This window comes from Homo sapiens, chromosome 3, assembly GCF_000001405.40.
Source record: "Homo sapiens chromosome 3, GRCh38.p14 Primary Assembly".
Taxonomy (NCBI): domain Eukaryota; kingdom Metazoa; phylum Chordata; class Mammalia; order Primates; family Hominidae; genus Homo; species Homo sapiens.
The window spans coordinates 195323242-195344168 of record NC_000003.12 but is presented as its reverse complement, the minus strand read 5'-3'; the positions used below and the strand labels follow the sequence as shown (position 1 = coordinate 195344168).

Below are 20927 nucleotides of genomic sequence, written 5' to 3'. Positions count from 1 at the left end.
ATAACTCACTGTAACCTCGAATTCCTGGGCTGAAGTGATCCTCCCACCTCAGCCTCCTGAGTAGTTAGGACTACAGGCGTGGACCACCACTTCTGGCTAATTTATCTTTTATTTTTTATTATTTGTAGAGGCAAGTCTCACTATGTTGCTGAGGCTAGTCTCAAACTCCTGGCCTCAAAGCAGTTTTCTTACCTTAACCTCCCAAAGCACTGGGATTACAGGCACCCAACCAAATTCTTTATAAATTACTTTGTGATGAACACTCAGAATGTCTTCATAGAATGCACACATAACAGTTTATGGCATCTTTCAAGGAGTTGAATGTCTTTCTTACATATACTTTATTATGGTTTTTATAAAATCATTTGTCTTCAAGTTATTTTACCTAGCTCCCTAGTAGAAAAATAAAAGCAAAGGGATGTTATGTGACTAAGATCATTAATGAACCAAGTGTTTCAGATTTTCAGACTATTAAAAGGGATACTGTTATTCATTGCTGATGTAACGATTCTTTCAGAAATTGATGTGTTCCAGCCTGGGCAATAATGTGAGACCACAGAAATAAAAAATAAAAATTAGCCTTGTGTGGTGGCATGTGCCTGTCGTCCCAGCTGCTTGAAAGGCATGAGGTGTGAGGATCGCTTGAGCCCAGGACTTTAAGGCTGCAGTGAGCTATGATCATGCCACAGCATGAGAAATCAATGTTGTTTCTTAGAGTGTGATCTGTAGACCACCCATGGTAGTAAAATCAAGGACGTGTCTTAAAAAATACTCCTCAGATTTCTAGGATTTTTCTCGAGGGCTAAAGAATCATAATCTCTCGGAAAGGGCTCTGGAATTTGCATTTTTAACCAGTGCCCTGTAGAGATTCTTATGTATACTACCGTTTAAAAATCGTTTGGTTAAATAATGGTACATGTCCCTGAATTTGTCTTTAGAAAAACAATTAACTTTATGTTTCTGTAATGTTAATTAGATAATTTATTGTCATCTCAAGTTATGTAGATTTAAATAATGAAATTTTAGCTGACTTTATCAGGATTTATACAAAATTGAGAAACAATACATATTTTAGTTTGAAGAGTGAATGTGTTTCAATGTGAGGTGAAACAAAAAATGGAGGAACATAGGAATTCAATTCTAAATGTTATTTTGCTAATTTTTTTTTTTTTTTGAGTCGGAGTCTTGCTCTGTCACCAGGCTGGAGTATAGTGGTGTGATCTCAACTCACTGCAACCTCCGCCTCCCATATTCAAGTGATTGTCCTGCCTCAGCCTCCTGAGTAACTGGGACTACAGGCACATGCCACCATGACCAGCTAATTTTTTTGTATTTTTAGTAGAGATGGGGTTTCACCATGTTGGCCAGGATGGTCTCGATCTCTTGACCTCATGATCCACCCACCTCGGCCTCCCAAAGTGCTGGGATTACAGGTGTGAGCCACCGCGCCCAGCCTGCTAAAGTTTTTTAATGAAGCAAGTTATAAAAGTTTCACTAAGTTTTTCTTTTCTTAGAGATCTTAGAAAATTCAAAGATGCCAAGAAGCAATTCGAAAAAGTCAGTGAAGAAAAAGAAAATGCGTTAGTAAAAAATGCCCAAGTACAAAGAAACAAACAACATGAAGTTGAAGAAGCCACCAACATTCTGACAGCAACAAGAAAATGTTTCCGACACATAGCCCTCGATTATGTGCTTCAGGTATATAGTTTCTTACTGTGTATGTTTTCAGACAGTGCTTACTTAAACAGGTTGTTACTTTTGAGTGATCGCCCTAAGAAGAATAAATACTTTTACTCTGAACTTAAAGTTAAAACATAATCTTAGGTGGAAAATTTCCATCTGTGTAGCTATTAGTGTACCTGTGTGTGTATGGATATATATTCCTTTGGTTCTGAGTTCTGCCTCTTTTCTCTTAACATTATATTTCCCATTTTAAAATGTTAAAAAGCATTTTTAGTTGCTATATGTTATTCTCTGGAGTTGTTATGTCAATTTAACTATCTTTTATTATACCATTTTATTATTTCAATAAGTTTAGGGGTACAAGTGGGTTTTTGGTCACATGGTGAATTGCATAGTGGTGAAGTGTGGGCTTTTATTGTATCTGTCACTCCAGTAGTATACATTGTACCCAACAGGAAATTTTTCATCCATCACCTCCCTCCCACCTTCCCCCCTTTCTGAGTCTCCAGTGCACATTACACCACTCTGTATGCCCCTGAGAACCTATAACTTAGCTCCTACTTATAGGTGACAACACACGGCATTTGGTTTTCTGTTCCTGTGTTACTTCCTTTAGGATAAGGGCCCCTAGTTCCTTCTAAGTTGCTGTAACAGACATTTGTGGTGTTCAAGTTTTTACTGACAATAGGGAAAATATAATTTTCAATAATTGTGAGTGATAATAACATCTTTACACTTCTTATTTCTTTAGATTAGATTCTTAGAGGTACTAAGGTTCACCATATTGCCAAATGAAAAATCTTTCTAGAAGTAGTGTTATCATATTTTTGCTTTAGGTGCTGTTTTTAAAAACTAGAAATCTGGGCCAGGCGCAGTGGCTCACGCCTGTCATCCCAGCACTTTGGGAGGCCAAGACGGGTGGATCACAAGTCAGGAGATTGAGACCATCCTGGCTAACACGGCGAAACCCCGTCTCTACTAAAAATACAAAAAATTAGCTGGGCGTGGTGGCGGGCGCCTGCAGTCCCAGCTACTCGGGAGGCTGAGGCAGGAGAATGGCGTGAACCCAGGAGGCGGAGCTTGCAGTGAGCTGAGATCGCACCACTGCACTCCAGCCTGGGTGACAGAGCGAGACTCCGTCTCAAAAAAAAAAAAAAAAAAAAACCCACACAATAAAACAAACAAACGAAAAAACCCAAAAACTAGAAATCTGTATTTGGTAAGTTGCTTGGTGTTGGTGATCTTCCAGTCTAATTTATAGCTGAAAGTGATAGGTCTCCAAAGGTATTTGAGACATGAGAAATGAAGGCATATTATATTGCGTGTTTCTATATATCATGGAATTTAAAGCCTAAAAAAACTTTAATGCTTAGGGAATTACCTTATATAAATCTCCTTTTACAAAACAATAGTGGTTGTCCTCAGAGATTGTTTACTTCACAATGATCACAGAATATTTCTTAAGAAAAAATACAAGTAACCAAATAGAAATTAGTGATTAAAAATTACTTAGGTAACTTGGCAAAACAATAGAAAATTAACTTTAAGTTTTTTTTCTATTAAGTTCCTGTTCAGTAAGTGGGAAGTTAAATTTTTAAGATGAATAGACTGTACTTTTGGAGGAAAGGATACTGGACTGGAGTAGTGTATTTCCTGGGTCCTGTTACCTACCTCACATTATACCATTTTCTGCTGTAGTGTACCCACACTACAGGGTACTCACCCTGCCTAACCCACTGAAATGGCTCATGCAGAGGTTTTATTCACTAGACGTATTTCAGTTTTTAACCAACTTGACTATTCTGTTTTACTGCAGTGGTGGACCACACTCTCCTTCTTGAAACATTCTTTTATCTTGATTTATCTGAAACTGCTTTTAGGTCTTCCTCCCAACTTCTATTTCTTTTCCATTTCTGTCTTGGGCTTCACTCCTTTGTCTGCCTTTTCACTCTCCTTTTTAGGGTTTCATCTTTGGTTTTATTCTTTTCTTTTCTTACTTTATTGTTTTCTGTCAGTCTCATCATGCCCCTTGCTTGAATCACCACCTGTTATTATAGGTAGATGACCAAATGTTTTTTCCCCAGAGGTACTTTGTTCTCATTGTATTCAAAACTGAAATCTCTTATCTTCCAAAATGGCTTCTCTTTCCCTTTTGCCCTTATCTAATTGAATGGTGTCACTTTTTTACTCTCATAGAAGTTCGAAATGAGAGAATTATATCAGATATTCTCCTCATTGTAAGCCAGTATATCTAGTTGCCAAAATGTCTTGAAAATTCCTCCTGTGTACCTCTTAAATTGGTTCTTTCTTCACCTTTGCTGCAGCCCTAAGTCTTACTGTTTCTTGTCTGGAGTATTAAAGTCTTCTCATGAAATTGGTCTGCCTTGCATTGCTTTTACCTGCCCTGTCACTAATTCACTCTCTGTTTTGTGATCCGGGTTACTCAGACTTCTCCAGGCCAGAAGGAATAATTTTTGCCTCTGCCTTCTCTGTGTTGCCGTATTTTTGTACACATTGCAGTTAGACTACTTACGCATTTATTGTAAATATTTATTTATATATTTTTTCTATTTCTAGATTGTATCCCTAGCCTCTAGTCCAGTGGTTAGAAAATAGATATGTAGTAAATGTTTTTTGAGAGAGTGAACGGCTTAATGTTACAAATTTTATACTGGGAGGATTAGCTAAAATTTTCATTATTTTTAAACTTACACATTATTTTCTTGGATGTCCATATGTAAGTTAGGAATCCTCACACTGCCTCCTCATGCCCACCACCCCCAACAAATAACTATTAGTTTGTTTGATTTTTCTGATGGGAATTATTGTATCATTTTATGGCCTTTATTTCATTTATGTCTACTTTAGAGAGTAGTAAGTAATAGATATCCAAATGTATAAAGTTTGTCTTGCTTTTAACTACTCTAAATATTTGAGTTTACTTTTTTCCTCCAATAATTTAAATGCTATATAATTTAAATATTATATAATATAAAAATCCTATTTTATATAGCATTTTATTTTTATATATAACATTTAAATTTAAAAATTTTATATAGCACTTAATTTTTTCAAATAGAAAAAAAGACATATCAAACAGGCATTTTAACATTATTCAGTGTTTGAGTAGTAGGCTATTTGCAGCTTCTTCTTTACTTAGAGCATTTGAAAGTGAATATTGTAGTTCTCTAAACTGAATAGGCTTTGAAATACATGCAGAAGAAACTAGTCTTTTGTTTCTGTTTTTGTTTTTTTGAGAAGGAGTCTTGCTGTGTCGCCCAGGCTGGAGTGCAGTGGTGCGATCCCAGCTCACTGCAACCTCCGCCTCCAGGGTTTAAGTGATTCTCCTGCCTCAGCCTGCCGAGTAGCTGGGATTACAGGCGCCCACCACCATGCCTGGCTAATTTTTGTATTTTTAGTAGAGATGGGGTTTCACCATGTTGGCCAGGCTGATCTCAAACTCCTAATCTCAAGCGATCTGCCCACCTCAGCCTCCCAAAGTGCAAGGATTACAGGCGTGAGCCACCTCACCCAGCCAGAAACTAGTCTTATGGTTAAGTAAAGTTACTTAGATTTTTCTTGTTCTGTTTTTTTTTTTAATTTAGTGCTTTAAAATTATTTGATAAAATACAGAATTCAGTGGGAAGGACATATTAAAAAGATATTGTATAATCTTTTGACAGTATTGGCAAAGAGTGAATGATTCTTTTTTTAAACATTTCATTAAGCTGATAGATAATAACAGACAAAAATAAAATGTTTGTTGTGAATTTCTGGAGTTGGGAGAGATCCTCTAAAAGGCAAATCTTTTAATTTATTGATCTTTCAGTAAATTTAGTCTAATTAAAACATTTACTTAAAATCTGGCCGGGTGCAGGGGCTCATTCCTGTAATCCCAGTGCTTTGGGAGGCCAAGGCAGGAGGATTGCTTGAAGCGAGGAGTTTGAGACCAGACTGTGCAACACAGTGAGAACCTGTCTCTACAAAAAGTAAAAAAAGTTAGCCAGGTCTGGTGGTGTGCACCTGTAGTCCCAGCTACCCAGCTACTCGGGAAGCTGAGATGGGAGCATTGCTGGGGGCTAAGGCAGGAGGATTGTGTGCCCAGGAGTTCGAGGCTGCAGTGAGATCTGATCATGCCACTGCACTCCGGCCAGGGTGGGCAACAGAGTGAGACTCTGTCTCTAAAAACAAAACCTGTTAATTTATTTAAGAAATATTTATTGAGTGCTTAGTGTGTGCCACTACAGCTGGGAATAAGGCAAAGACCCTGGTCTCACTAGAATTTACACTTCGGTTAGGGAGAAGACACAAATCAGAAAATATAAGGTAGTTATAAATGTTCTGAGTAAAATAAATGAGGTTGATGTACTAGACAGTACGTAAGAAGCTAGCATAGACCTTTGTGAGGAGATGGTATTTGAGACCTGATTGGTAGGAGATAGCCTGATACCCATCTGGGCGGAACATCATGGCGTGTGCACAGAACAGCCAGTGCAAAGGCATTGAGGTGGGAGTGGCCCCAGGCTCAGGTTGAGGTGGGAGTGGCCCCGGGCTCAGGTTGAGGTGGGAGTGGCCCCGGGCTCAGGTCGGAGTACAGAAAGTGGGAAGGTAATAGAAAACTAGGTCGAAGAGGTAAGGTAGGTAGGGGCCACATCACACTGGGCCTTGCCGGCCATGGTAGGAAGTTGGAGGGTGTTAAGGTAGAGGTAACATGATCTTATTTATAATTTTTTAAGATGGGCCTGGCGCAGTGGCTCACGCCTGTAGTTCCAGCACTTTGGGAGGCCAAGGCGGGTGGATCACTTGAGGTCAGGAGTTAAGACCAGCCCGACCAACATGGAGAAACCCCGTCTCTACTAAATAGAAAAAATTAGCCGAGCGTGGTGGCACAAGCCGGTAATCCCAGCTACTCGGGAGGCTGAGGCAGGAGAATTTCTTAAACCCAGAAGGCAGAGGTTGCAGTGAGCTGAGATTGTGCCATTGCACTGCAGCCTGCGCAATAAGAGCAAAACTCTGTGTCAAAAAAAAAAAAAAAAAAAGATGACTGGTTGCCGTGTGTATAATGGATTGTAGGGAGTCAAGAATGGAAGCAGAGAAGAGACTAATTCATAGCCTATTGCAGCAGTCTGGAAAAGACATGATGGTGGTAGTGGTAAAGTGCTGAGAATTTACATTTAGGTTGTATGTGAAACTTTGATGAGCAATTAGATAAAGAGGGTGGGAAAAAGATGGAATTCCCAGAGCTTCAGATGTCAAAATAGTTCCATCACTCTAATATCGGTTAAATAACCAGTTTTTCTTTTAGCTCAGAAATGTACGAGAATTTCACTGGAATGTTTGTCTTAACTGTGTTTTGCAAAAGGATAGTTGAAGGATGAAAAAGCTTGAGCTTTGTTTTTATTTGCTTTTTCGAAAAGTATTAAACCATTAAAATAAGCTTTACAATATTGCATTATGGATTAGCTTTAAAATAATGCATGGGTGATTAACCACGTGTGTTTTCCCTCAGATTAATGTTCTTCAATCAAAAAGGAGATCAGAAATCCTAAAATCAGTAAGACATTAATTGAAATGATGTTTTAAATATTTTAATATGAAACTAAATGTACGTATTTAGGTGTTGAAAGAGCATCTGCTATATACATGATAAGGTTTATAATTGCTCTTCTTTTTGATCTTCATTTGTGTTTCTTATGTGGCACTGGACTTCTTTTTGTCTCCTTCATGTTACAGTTGTTTGTGTGTCTCATCTGTTGATACACTGTGAGGTCCATAAAGGTAGACTCTATACTGTTATGTTTTTGTTTTCTTTTATCCTCATATGTTGCTTTACATGCACTAGATGCCCAGTACCATTTGGTGAATAACTAAAAATGTTTGGTATAAAAACCTGTGAGAATATTTCAGAATTTGTTTTGAAAGTTATCAACATAAAAAACTGTTACACTTAGGTTTTTAATTTTTTCTTACTTGTTTTGCTTTAAAATTTTTTTCCCAGCCTCTTTCAACATATTTACATTTTTCTCTATAATTTTTGGCATTATTTGGACTTCAAAAATATTTGAGATTGAGGATTTATATGAATAGTATCATTTGGAGAATTTTTCCCTTAAAGTTGATGGTGGGTCAGTCTTTTGGTTTGTTCTTCCGTATGCAGTTACAAAACCAGTGGGATGAAATTTGGGGATCACTTTTTTCCTTGAGCCTCTTCACCCACTTGACAATGAATTTTTTTTTTTTTTTGCGGTGGGGAGCCCTATTTTTGGTCTTAAAGCTAACGAAGGCCGGGTGTGGTGGCTCATGCCTGTAATCCCAGCACTTTGGGAGGCTGAGGCGGGTGGATCACCTGAGGTCAGGAGTTCGAGATCAGCCTGGCCAACATGGTGAAACCCCATCTGAACTAAAAATACAAAAAAATTAGCTGGGTGTGGTGGCGGGTGCCTGTAATCCCAGCTACTTCGGGAGGCTGAGGCAGGGGAATTGCTTGAACCCGGGAGGCAGAGGTTGCAGTGAGCCGAAATCGCGCCATTGTACTCCAGCCTAGGTGACAAGAGTGAAACTCTGTCTCAAAAAAAAAAAAAAAAAAAAAAAAAGCCAACGAAGTGGGCAGGGCATGATGTGGTATGGCATAGCACTCTTTATATTTTGATAACCTTAGTAATAATCTCTCAACTCTGAATTACTTACTGACTTACTTTTTCCCCAAAAGGCTATGCTTAAGTTGCCTTAGATTCTTGTCCCCACCTAGCTTTTTTCTAAATTTTATGTATATATTTGTGTTATATCTTATCAGGTAAACACATTGTACTTCCTGTTTTCTAAAAGATAATATTTATACCCCACTTGTTTTCGAGATTGACAGTAATGTGTATTAATTGTAGAAAATTAGAATGTGTATGAAGAAAAATAAAAACTACTTAGAAATTCTGCTACCAAGGGGAAGCCACTATTCATATCTTGGCATACATCTTTGTCTTTTTCTCTCTTTCTGTGTGTGTGCATGTGTGTGTGCATGAACTTGAATATATGCCTTTTAAAATCACATTTAATTTTTTAATGGGAATCATTCCTACATACTATTTTATAACTTTCTTTTTTCACTAATACACTGCAAAGTTATATGTCATTAAATATCCTTTATTTAATGATGGCTTTTGTGGCCAGGTAGAATTCTACCACCTGAATATTCTAGGGGTTGGCACATGTTTTTTGTAAAAGTCCTGGTAGTAAATATGGTAGGTTTTACAGGCCTCATGGTCTCTGTTGGAATTATTCAACTGTGCTATTATAATGAGAGAGACAGTATGTAAATGAATGGCTATGACTGTGTTCCAATAAAACTTTATTTATAAACACAGAAATTTGAATTTCATATAATTTTCACATATCATAAATTTCATATATTTTCATTGCCTTTAAATCATTTAAAGATGTAAAAACCATTCGTAGCTCATGGACTATCAAAAAACAGGTGGTGAGCCCTGATAAAGTTTGCAGGTCATAGTTTACTGACCTTGAAGGAATATACCATAAATTAATTTCACCTATTAATGAATATTCAAATAATTTCCTTGTTTTTGACCTTAGAACATAGCATTGTCCTGATCATTCTAATGAATAATCTTATTATTTTCTTAGGATAGATTTATTTATAAACAAGAGATTACATAGTCAAAGGATTAAGGCTTTAGAAAAATATCATCAAATTTCAAAGGTTATACAATATTTCCCCTAATATTGTGTGAAAATGGATATTTCTCCACATTTTACCAACACTGAGCATTGCAGTTTTTCCCCCATGCTGCCCCTAGTTTGTTGGATAGAAAGCATGATCTCATTATTCAGTTTTGCGTTTTGTTAATACAAATGAGTTTGAACATTTTTCCGTGTTTTTTGGCCACTTATGTACCTCATATGTCCTTTGTCTCTTTTTCTGTTGGAGTGTTCATCTTTTTCATGTTGATTTATAACATCTCTTACATCTTAAGTCTGTTAACTCTTTGTCATGGGTTTTTCCCTAGTTTATCATTTGTCTTTTAATATGCTTGTTTTGCATTTTGATGTACAGGCATATTTTATATTTTTATGTAGTCCTAGCTATTAATCCCATCCCTCTTTTTAAATTTTTAATCAATTTTTAAAATAATTTATTGGTTTTTATTCACAAATTTGTTCAATGATCACTATTATCTAATTCCAGAATAATTTTCCTCTTCTGAGTTTTATCCTTTTGCCTCTGTGTTTTAATGGTTTTTTTTTTTTTGAAAATAGTTTTTTTTGGAGGATTTTTGAGTATTAAGGACTTTATGACCTGTTTTAGACGTCAGAAAATTGAACAGATGCCACTTGTTGAAAATAATATGGATGTTTAGAATATTTTTTCAGTATTATTCATTTAATTATGTAATTCCTTCCATGTAAAAACTTAATTAAAATGAGGGTGATTTTTCTCTTTAAAATAGGTAAGATATAGGAAAACTTGGACAAATCTCTGCCCATTAATGTCAGCTTTTTAGATTTGTGGAATGAATGTAAAGAAACTTCCATGTTGGCAAATTCGGTTGACTCATTTTATTTTGGTATCTTGAGAGAAAAACCCAGCGTTCTCCTACTTTAGGTTATGCTTGTGCTCTCGTAGATTGTAAAGCGTTTGTGTTTTATTTTGAGCACTTTATATTTCTCTTATCTTTTTGTCTTTTTTGCAATTTAAAGTTTGTCAGTGAGCTTGGTTGAAGGAGCACATAAATACTTTATAATGGACCTAGGAAGATAGTAGAGTTATTGAAAATTGGATTATTTGAATCTGCTGTATACATTTTGATCACCTAGATATAGTCTAAACAACTAAAATTTTGAGCATTTTAAAAATGTTAAACCACTGGGAAATTTCTTTTAAATAAAATTTATTTTCATTGTATTTGAAAATATTTTTGAAATACACTTTTAAAACAGATGACTCAGTTTAATTTTCAAATAGATTTGGTGAGCTGGGCATGGTGGCTCACGCCTATAATCCCAGGACTTTTGGAGGCGGAAGTGGGAGGATTGCTTGAACCCAGGAGTTTGAGATCAGCCTGGGTAACATGGCGAGACTTTGTCTCTACAAAAATAAAAAAATTAGCTGAGCATAGTGGCACATGCCTGTGGTCCCAGCTATTTAGGAGGCTGAAGTGGGAGAATCACCTGAGCCTGGGAGGTCCAGGTTGCAGTGAACTGTGTCCATGCCACTGCATGCCAGGTCTGGGCGACAGAGCAAACAGAGCAAGACCCTGTCTTTTATATATTTTTATATATATATGTAATATTTCAGAATGTCTATCTAGGAATAGATTTTAAAATGGTCATCTTTTTTTCCCTATTAGATGTTGTCATTTATGTATGCCCATTTGGCCTTCTTTCATCAAGGATATGATCTGTTTAGTGAACTTGGACCCTACATGAAGGATCTTGGTGCACAGGTAATGTTGCAGTATATTTCTTGATTCTGTTTTATACATTGGTATTTGTATTTTTAAAGAAATTTAGCATATTGGAGGTGTACTAGTTTGTTCTCACACTGCTATAAAGAGCTGCCTGAGACTGGGTAATCTAGAAAGGAAAGAGGTTTAATTGACTCACAGTTCTGCATGGCTGGGGAGGCCTCAGGAAACTTACAATGATGGCAGAAGGCAAAGGGAAAGCAAGGCATCTTTTTCACAAGGCAGCAGAGGGGAGAATGAACGCAGGAGAAACTACCAAACACTTATAAAACCATCAGATCTCGTGAGAGCTCACTCACTATCACGAGTACCAGCATGGGGGAAACCGCCCCCATGACTCAGTTCCCTCCACCTTGTCTCTCTTGACACGTGAGGATTATGGGGATTATAATTCAAGATGAGATTTTGGGTGGGGACACAGCCAAATCATATCAAGGAGGACTTGATGTTTTATTTACTTAATGAAGAATGAAGTTGGATGCTATAGCAGATTTATATATGGGTTAAATACTCAAATGTTTGCGTTTTGGGTATACCCAAAAAATGAAATCAAAGGTAAAAAGAACCTTATGTTATAGTTTGCATGTGAAGGTATTGAAAAGGAGAATTTAAAAACAAAGTGTTTGTTTTGCAGTCTACATAACTGGACTTATATTTAAATTTTATACATTTGGATAATTGAGTTATTGTTCCAATTTGCTTTTCAGTTGAGTTATAGCTCTTTTTTATTTCCTGAAAACTTGTATCTTGTTATTTGAATAAAAAAATTTTAGAATCTTAAAATTATAGAGCTCTTGGGAACTTTTTCATTTCATGCAGTCACATGTGGCCTATCTATGGCTATGTGTAATAGTATTTTTTTTTTTTTTTTTTGAGGTGGAGTCTTGCTCTGTCACCCAGGCTGGAGTGCAGTGGCGGGATCTCGGCTCACTGCAAGCTCCACCTCCCAGGTTCTTGCCATTCTCCTGCCTCAGCCTCCTGAGTAGCTGGGACTACAGGTGCCCGCCACCATGCCCGGCTGATTTTTTGTATTTTTAGTAGAGATGGGGTTTCACCGTGTTAGCCAGGTTGGTCTCGATCTCCTGACCTCGTGATCTGCCCGCCTCAGCCTCCCAAAGTGCTGGGATTATAGGCGTGAGCCACTGTGCCTGGTGGCTACGTGTAATAGTTCTATACATATACATACAAATTTTATATGTATAAAAATGTCATTATATTCAAATTATTTTTTCATATCTGATGATAACATTATATTAGATCTGTTCGGGGGACATTGTTTTTTATTGACGAACATTCTTTATTTTAACACTGTCGATTTTTAGGTGATTTTCTTTCTCAAGGTGTCTCAGTTTAGTTTCCAAGAGGAGGGGATTGATGATGAAAAATAGAGTTTATGCCAGGCATGGTGGCTCATGCCTGTAATCCCAGCACTTTGGGAGGCTGAGGCATGCAGATTACATGAGGCCAGGAGTTTGAGACCAGCCTGGGCAACATGGTGAAACCCCGTCTCTACTAAAAATACAAAAATTATCCAGGCGTGGTGGCATATGCCTGTAGTCCCAGCTACTCGGGAGGCTGAGGCATGAGGTGGAGTTCTCAGTGAGCCAAGATCGGGCCATTGTACTCCAGCCTGGGTGACAGAGGGAAACTCTGCCTCAAAAAAAAAAGGAAAAGAAAAATTGAGTTTAAGGAAAAAGGTAAGAGTGGAATGGGAATTGCATTTACTGACCAGAGTATATGTGAGTTGTGGTTTGTGTGTGTGTGTGTGTTGAGACGGGGGAAAGACATGTAGGGTGTATGCCATGGATTACATGTATTCTGTTTTCTGCCTCTACAGAACTTAGTCTCTTGGGAGAAGCCAACAAGTCACCACACTCTTAATCTCTGTGCTAAATACCTTGTGTGTGTGTAACAGTTGGGATGAGGTTTGTTTGCAAGTAATAGAAAACCAAGAATACTAGTAATTTAAAAAAGAGTTTTATTTCTCTTATGTAAAGTCAAAGACATGGTATGGTGGCCACTTGGTTAGCAGGAGTGCAGGCTTATGTTTTTTGATTCTACCTCATGGTTCAAAGTGGCTAATCAAGCTTTAGCTGTCATACCCAAATTCCAGCTAATGGGAAGAAGGAAAGGAGAATGAAAGATATGTTTTCTCTCTAAGCACATTTCCTAGAAATTGTACATATCACTTCTACATATATCCCAATGCCAAGTCCTTAGTCGCAGGGTCACAATAGCTGCAAGGGAAATTAACGTTAATGCCAGGTAGCCACGTGACCTGCTAGAATTTAGGGGTTCCATTGTTAAGGAAGAAGGAGAAAATAGATATTGAGGGACAGCTGGCCTTTTCCACCATATAGGGAAGGGTCAAAGTGTTGCAGGAACATATAGACAGGACATGTAAGCCAGACTTGGGGGTAAGGAGAGACCTTCCTGGGTTTTAGACATTCCTCACACACTATCAAATATTAGATTGCGCTCTCATCTTATGTTCAGTGTAATTTATAAAAGCAGTATGAGTTGAATTGCAGTTGACTAGCTGAAAAAATTATGTGTTTTTAAAACATTTAATCATTTTAGTTTTATAGGTTTACCCCCTCTCTAGATCTCAAATAAGTCTGCAGGTCCTTGAAAAACATCTAAGCCCCAGAGCCTATAGTGCCTAGTGGATAAGATGGCCGGGTTGGAGGTGGCCAATTACGATATTCTTTTCATAATTAGTAGATAATGGCATCTGAAACTAAAGTCATGGCAGTAGAGATAGAAATGGTTAGATTTGAGGGTTAATATACAGCCAATTCGAGGGTGGAAGGGCGTGACGAATTCATGCTTAAATATATTGATTTGTGAGGATAAGACGTCTAAGTGGATATATGCGGAGCTCAAGAGGGAGATAGACTAAATGAATCAGTAGCGTATACTTGCTGATTGCAACCACAAGAGTGGGTGAGTTGATGGGGGGTGAGTTAGATATCTCTGAATCATAGAGCTATTTAAAAAAATCTAGTTGCCTAGACACCATACATGAAGATTTTCATTTTGTAAGTTAAGGCTGAGGTCCACTGGTATTGAGTAAAAAGAGAAGCTGACTTGGGGCGGGGACATAAGAAAGACTAAATTTTGAGATGGCTAAGGTAAGAGAAGCTGCGTTAGGACATAGATGAGTGAGGAAGTGGAAAAACAGGAGACTGGCATTGTAGGCCAGGAAAAGTCTTTCAAAGGGAAGGAGTGGTTATCAGCTTCCATTATTAGAAAGTTAAGTAAACCTAGGACTGAGAAATACCTGTTGGATTTAGCAGCAAAAAGTTGTTACCTCTGTGAGAGATGCTGTTTCCATGGAGCTGGGGACCCAGGCAGTAGAAGCGGAATGACAGTGGGTAGATGAATATGAAATGGGCAGATACAGAAGGTGGTAATATTTTAAAGAAGTTGTGTTATGAAGGAAAGAGGGAAAGAATGTGGTAGCTGGAAAAAGAGTATGGGTTAGCAGTTTTATTAAGGTAGAATGGTTTGCACCAACTTAAAAGCAGATGGTAGTTCAAGAGGGAGAAGTTGAAAAGGAGAAAGAGAAGTGATGGGATCTGAGGTTTGTGGGAGTGGAAGGGATTTAAAACACAGAAGGACCAGGGATACCTGCTTAGTTATAGGAACCTATTAACATTGATAATGTCCAGTACTAACACAAACACGGGACCCTTTTTACTCTGCTCCAAGTTATCTTCCTGATACATTTCCCCATGTCTAGAAGATAAGACTCTGCCAGTCTTCACATTTCCCCAACTCATGCCTTCCCCCAAACTCCAACCATCATGAAAGATATTTTTTCTTTATTCTTTTTCCCCATCAGAGAGGGAGAATTGTCCCCACTTTTTTGGTTAGAGATGCAAGAGACATTTCTTTTTTCTTTCTTTCTTTTTTTTTTTTTTTGAGACGGAGTCTCACTCTGTTGCCCAGGCTGGAGTACAGTGGCGTGATCTTGGCTCACTACAAGCTCCGCCTCCCGGGTTCACGCCATTCTCCTGCCTTAGCCTCCCGAGTAGCTGGGACCACAGGCGCCCGCCACCACGCCCGGCTAATTGTTTTGTATTTTTAGTAGAGGCACGGTTTCACCGTGTTAGCCAGGATGGTCTCGATCTACTGACCTTGTGATTCGCCCATCTCGGCCTCCCAAAGTGCTGGGATTACAGGCGTGAGCCGCCACGCCCAGCCGCAAGAGACATTTCTTACCAATTAGGCAGAAGACCATCACCTACATTGCAGAATTCATATGTAAAGTATATGCGTGCATATTTGTAAATATTTTGAATTTGAGGGCTACCTTGTACTGCATTTCAGTCTGAATGAATGAGTAATATTCATATGCCACTCAGAGCCATAAAACCCCTAGGATGGTTAGTCCACTCATTCCGCTTAAGAAACTTCTGTGAGAGTATATTTTTCTAGCGCACCATGTACGGTATTACCCACTAAATCAATGCTACGTGTCACTAAGGTATGTGTGTATTAGATCATAGAGTAGCATAGTTGCCACCTGTATCACGTACTTTATAATAGTGATAGATCTGTTTCATTGTGGATTTTTTTTTGGTTAATCTTTATTACTATTCAGTAATATTATCTGTGACTAGAATTATTCTTCTGTAGAAAAAACATCATTTGTGATAAGGGATCAAATAGTTTTTTTGAAAAAGACTTTTTAAAAATTTAGTTTTAAAAAAATATAACTTAAAATGTGTAGACATTTAATGCTTATCTTTCTCCATATTCCTGCTGATCTGATATGTATGTTTTAATTTATTCACTTATCGAACATGTGTTAATCATTTAGAGGTGATGGAGGTTCAGAGTTGGAAAGGCATCATCATAGTCTAGACAATGAAACCCACATAATTAATAATGTATAACCCAATTATTGTTAGTTTAGCAAATAGGATTTCAAGAAGCCAGTGCATTTCTCGTGACATGTTACTGGAAATCAAATACTTCCCTCATGATGGATATCCTTTCTAACGCCAAGGAACAAGAAAAAAATGGGTTATATATATACATATATATATATTTTTTTTTGGTGGAGGGCTGATGGAGTCTTGCACTGTCACCCTGGCTAATGTGCAGTGGTGCGATCTTGGCCTGCTGCAACCTCTGCCTCGTGGGTTCAAGTGATTCTGCTGCCTCAGCCTCCCGAGTAGGTAGGATTACAGGCACCTGCCACCATGCCCAGCTAATTTTTTGTAGTTTTAGGAGAGACGGGGTTTCTCTATGTTGGCCAGGCTGTTCTCGAAGTCCTGACCTCGTGATCCGCCCACCTTGGCCTCCCAAAGTGCTGGGATTACAGGTGTGAGCCACTGCGCCCGGCCAGGTTTTATGGTTTTATTAAGTTTTTTGAGCTTTTAAAAATGAGCCTTAAGAATTGCCGATTTCCTACCTTGGTCTTATGAATGATTACTATTCTTTTATTATTATTATTTTTAGCTTTCTCTTTTATCTCATGAATTATTTTTTCTTCTTTTTAGATTTGAGTATGACATTAGGGAGCCAACCTGAAAACATGAAGAAGCATCTTGAATGGTTGGAAGTAGCTGTTAGAGTGAATTTGTGAGAGCTAGGTTAGCTGGTTAATACTAGTTTAGCTGCACTGCTTTTTGCTGTTTGGGAAAGAAGTCACTAGTGTCTTCTTCGTGTCTTTGATTTTAACTACCAGAATTTGCTTAGTGGGTCAGCAGGAGCCTAAGCTAGAGTCATTTTCGTTATTCAGGGATTGAACGTGTATCACTGGGGTACCTGTGACACGGTCTGCAATCGTATATGTATGGCACCATGACTGTTCTTGGAAATTTTTATTTTCTAGTGGAGATATGGATCTTCTCAAAGAGAACTTGATAGCAGAAAAAAATATGAACTTCTACTTCAAAATTTAGCCAAAACTTTATTAAATCAGCTTAAATTGAGTGATTTTTTATTTATCTGTGAAATGATTTGGAATATGGTTTGAAAAACTAATCCATACTTTTTTTAAGTCTGCAGTTTTCTCTTTTCCCTTTTTACAGTTGGATCGACTGGTTGTGGATGCAGCAAAGGAGAAAAGAGAAATGGAGCAAAAACATTCCACCATTCAACAAAAGGTACCTCAGGGGAAAAATTAAAAATTAATTCCACTTTATACAATGGCTTGGGTGTTGGTTTATGCAAGGTATCATTGTATTGGAACAAATCTTTTGAGTTGTTCTAATAATTGTGCAGATAAATTCCTCTTTTGTTTTTGAAGAGCAAAATGTTCTTCAGATTTTAAGGTATGTATTTTGTTATTTTTTCAGATCTTTGAAAGCTATGCTTCTTGAACCAGTTTATAAAAATTTGAATCTCTTAGGAACTTAACTAAGCTAAAAGTGGCCTTTAGTTAGAATTCAAAACACTATTCATAATTACATTTAGGATACCACCAACTCCCTGTAAAAGTGTGTGTCCGTGTGTGTGTTGTGGGGCAGAGGGTGTGGATGCACCTTAGTGTCAACATGCGTGTTTGGTCTTACAGACTTTCCAACTGCAGTCACTGCAAGGCAGCCTTTCCTCTCTGTCACGAGATGCTAAAACTTCACTTGCATTGCCTGTTAAATTGTCTAAGCCTAGCTAAACTTACTTTGAAAATATTTTTAAAAATGAGAACTCAAATATTAAACCAGTTTTTATTTCTTCATGCTAAAAGAGTTTAGTGTGACATTCCTGCAACTCAACTTTCTTATAAAGTCAGTGGTGCTTTTTGTGTAGTTATCTGAAAATAAAAGGAGAGTGCTGAAGTTGAATATAGAAATATAAGTACGCACAGGATGCCTTCTGGCATTGCTTTAAGAAATCTGTTTTCTTGGTATTGAGCAGTAAAATCAACTTTTTTATGGTTTATTTAGAATTTAAAATACCAGTAAACTAGATCTGATATAGAAGATGTCAGTGGAAAAAAATGAAAACAAAATCATAATAAAAGTAAGAAAAATTTAATTGATGATGGATTATTAATGCTCAAAGAAAAATAATTAAAGGAAAGATTTCTACAAGACCATCTTTAAGTTAGTTACTTTCTAGTTAGTGTCAGGTGAGACAAACTCCACGTTTTATTTTGTTTCGTTTACAGTTAGATTAACTTTTGTTTGGTTAACTTTTTATTTTAAGTTGACAGATAAAAATTTTACATAATTAGAGTGTACAGTATGATGTGTTCATGGGTAATGAGTTTTAATGACATGATCATGAAAAGATTGCTAAAAATTGGGACCAATTGTTTTTAATTAAAATGAGATATCATGGTATTTGTAGAACTATCTGAATATTTCCTTAAATTGAATTACTTAATAAACATTATGCATCTTTTAATATCTTTTCCTATTGTGGACACAGTTCAGTGTTGTACTGAAGCTTCAAAAATGGTAAATTATTAACTCTAAGAATAATTTATTTGATTTTAAATAATATTCAACTGTTTTCCTTTAAAGAAAATGATGCTATTTTTTGCTTATTATGAATACTGACCTCTTTTCTGCCCCTAAATGCTGACACAAGGCTGCGTTACAGGTAAAAAAAAAAAAAAAAAAAAAAAAAAATCAGTCCACTAAAAACTAAGGGAAAGTATGTCTCCTGTAGTTATGTAGATTTTTTCAAAAATTTAAATTGATCAATTGGAGAAACAGTGGTGCTTTGAACATTCATGTGCAGATACGTGCACGCATTTTACATTTCTCATGTATTTATACCTAGGAGTAAAACTGCTGAGTTAGAAGGTGTATTAGCATTAGCAGGTCATTTAGCATAAGTAGATAATGCTACATTGTTTTTCAAAATATTATACTATCTTAGCAGATAGCACTATATGAGAGTTCCTATTTGCCAGCTCATTATATTATGAGACTTTCAGATTTTGGCCCATTTGATCAGTAGATATAGACATCTTCTTGTAGTTTTAACTTCTTCAGTGACTAATGAGCTTAAGCACCTTATCTTATATCTATTGGTCTTTTGCATATCTTATTTGTAAAACGTCTGTTAATCTTTCTCTCATTTTTCCACCAGGCTGCCTGATGTTTGATCAAATTCATAATATATTTGAGGCATATGTGTTTTTAATTTTCATATAGCTTATTTTTATCAGTCTTACGGTTGATGCTTTTTGTGTGTTGTTCAGTAAATCCTTTCCATTTCAAGATCATGAAGAGATATCTCTTGTATTATAGGTTTGCTTTTTAGATCTTTATTTTTTATTTTATTTTATTTTATTTTGGTCCTGTCGCCCAGGCTGGAGTGCAGTGGCGCGATCTCTGCTCACTACAACCTCCGCCTCCTGGGTTTAAGTGATTCTCCTGCCTCAGCCTCCCAAGTAGCTGGGATTACAGCTGCACGCCACCATGCCTAGCTAATTTTTGTATTTTTAGTAGAGATGGGGTTTTGTCATGTTGGTCAGGATGGTCTTGATCTCCTGACCTCAGGTGATCCATCCACCTCGGCCTCCCAATGTGCTCGGATTACAGGTGTGAGCCACCGTGCCGCTTTTTAGGTCTTTAATTGGGTTTTTGTGTGTGGTGTGAGGTAGAGATCTAGTTTCCTTTAATTCTCTCACTGGTAGTCAGTTGATCCAGACTAGTTATTAAAAAGTTTGCTCTTTCCCAAATGCTCTGTGGTATATCCTGTGTTATATATCACATTTCCATATATGTGAGGCCCATTTCAGTTTCTCTATTCTGTTTCACTGTCTTTTTGTCTAAACTGTCAATACTATGCTGTCTTAATTATTTTTGGCTTTAGAGTGACTTCTTTAGTGACTAATGGGCATCTTATATTCATTGGTCATTTGGATATCCTATTTGTGAACTATTAGTCTTTATCTCATTTTCCCACCAGGTTGCCTAATTGTTGATCAAATCCTTTTAAAAATTTTTTTATTTCATTTTTATTTTTCATTTTTAATTTTTGTTAGTACATAGTAGGTGGTATTATTTATGGGGTACATGAAATATTTTGATACAGGCATGCAATGCATAATAATCACATCATGGAAAACGGGGTATCCATCCTCTCAAGCATTTATCCTTTGTGTTACAAACAATCCTATTGTATTCTTTTAATTATTTTTAAATGTACAATTAAATTATTTTGACTGTAGTCACCCTGTTGTGCTATCAAATACTAGGTCTCATTCATTCTGTTTTTTTTTTGTATCCATTAACCATCCCCACTCGCTGACACCCCCAGTTCCCACCACCACTCCCAGCCTCTGGTAACCATCCTTCTACTCTCCAGCTCCCTGAGTCCAGTTGTTTTATTTTTTAGATCCCACAAATAAGTGAGAACATGAATGTTTGTCATTCTGTTCCTGGCCGGCAAATTCTTGATATCTAATAGCAAAGCTTCCTACCTTCCCTCCTTCAATTTTGTATGAATCAAAATTAATATCTTTATTATATCTTCAAATCTGTGTGCTTGGTATATTCTCCATTTAAGTTTTCTTTAATGGCTTTCATAAAGTTTTATGATTTTTCTTGTACATCTTTTGTTAGATTTATTCCTAGACACTTGTATTCTAAATGTTATCTTTAAATTTATTTATTTTACCACTGTTCTGTTTGCGATAAAATTGATTTTTCTGTATTGATTTTGTAACTAGTAATCTCTTTTAATATTGATTTATCTCTCAATTATTTTGGATGTTCTGTGTATGAAGTGTTATCATCTACCAATAATGATGGTTTTTTCCTTTCTTTCCAATCTTGTACTCTTTTTTTG

At 36.9% G+C, this 20927-nt stretch overlaps 1 protein-coding gene across 13 annotated transcripts in view; it reads left to right on the top strand.

Annotated features, from left to right (window-relative positions):
• ACAP2 (ArfGAP with coiled-coil, ankyrin repeat and PH domains 2) overlaps positions 1 to 20927 on the top strand; it is a 168276-nt gene that overhangs the window by 98852 nt on the left and 48497 nt on the right. For all 13 annotated transcript variants that reach the window (NM_012287.6, XM_011512603.3, XM_006713557.4 and 10 more), the window contains 4 exons: positions 1515 to 1698; positions 7193 to 7237; positions 11046 to 11141; positions 17210 to 17284. In NM_012287.6, the coding sequence (NP_036419.3) occupies positions 1515 to 1698; positions 7193 to 7237; positions 11046 to 11141; positions 17210 to 17284 (400 nt within the window). The remainder of the gene's footprint in view (positions 1 to 1514; positions 1699 to 7192; positions 7238 to 11045; positions 11142 to 17209; positions 17285 to 20927) is intronic.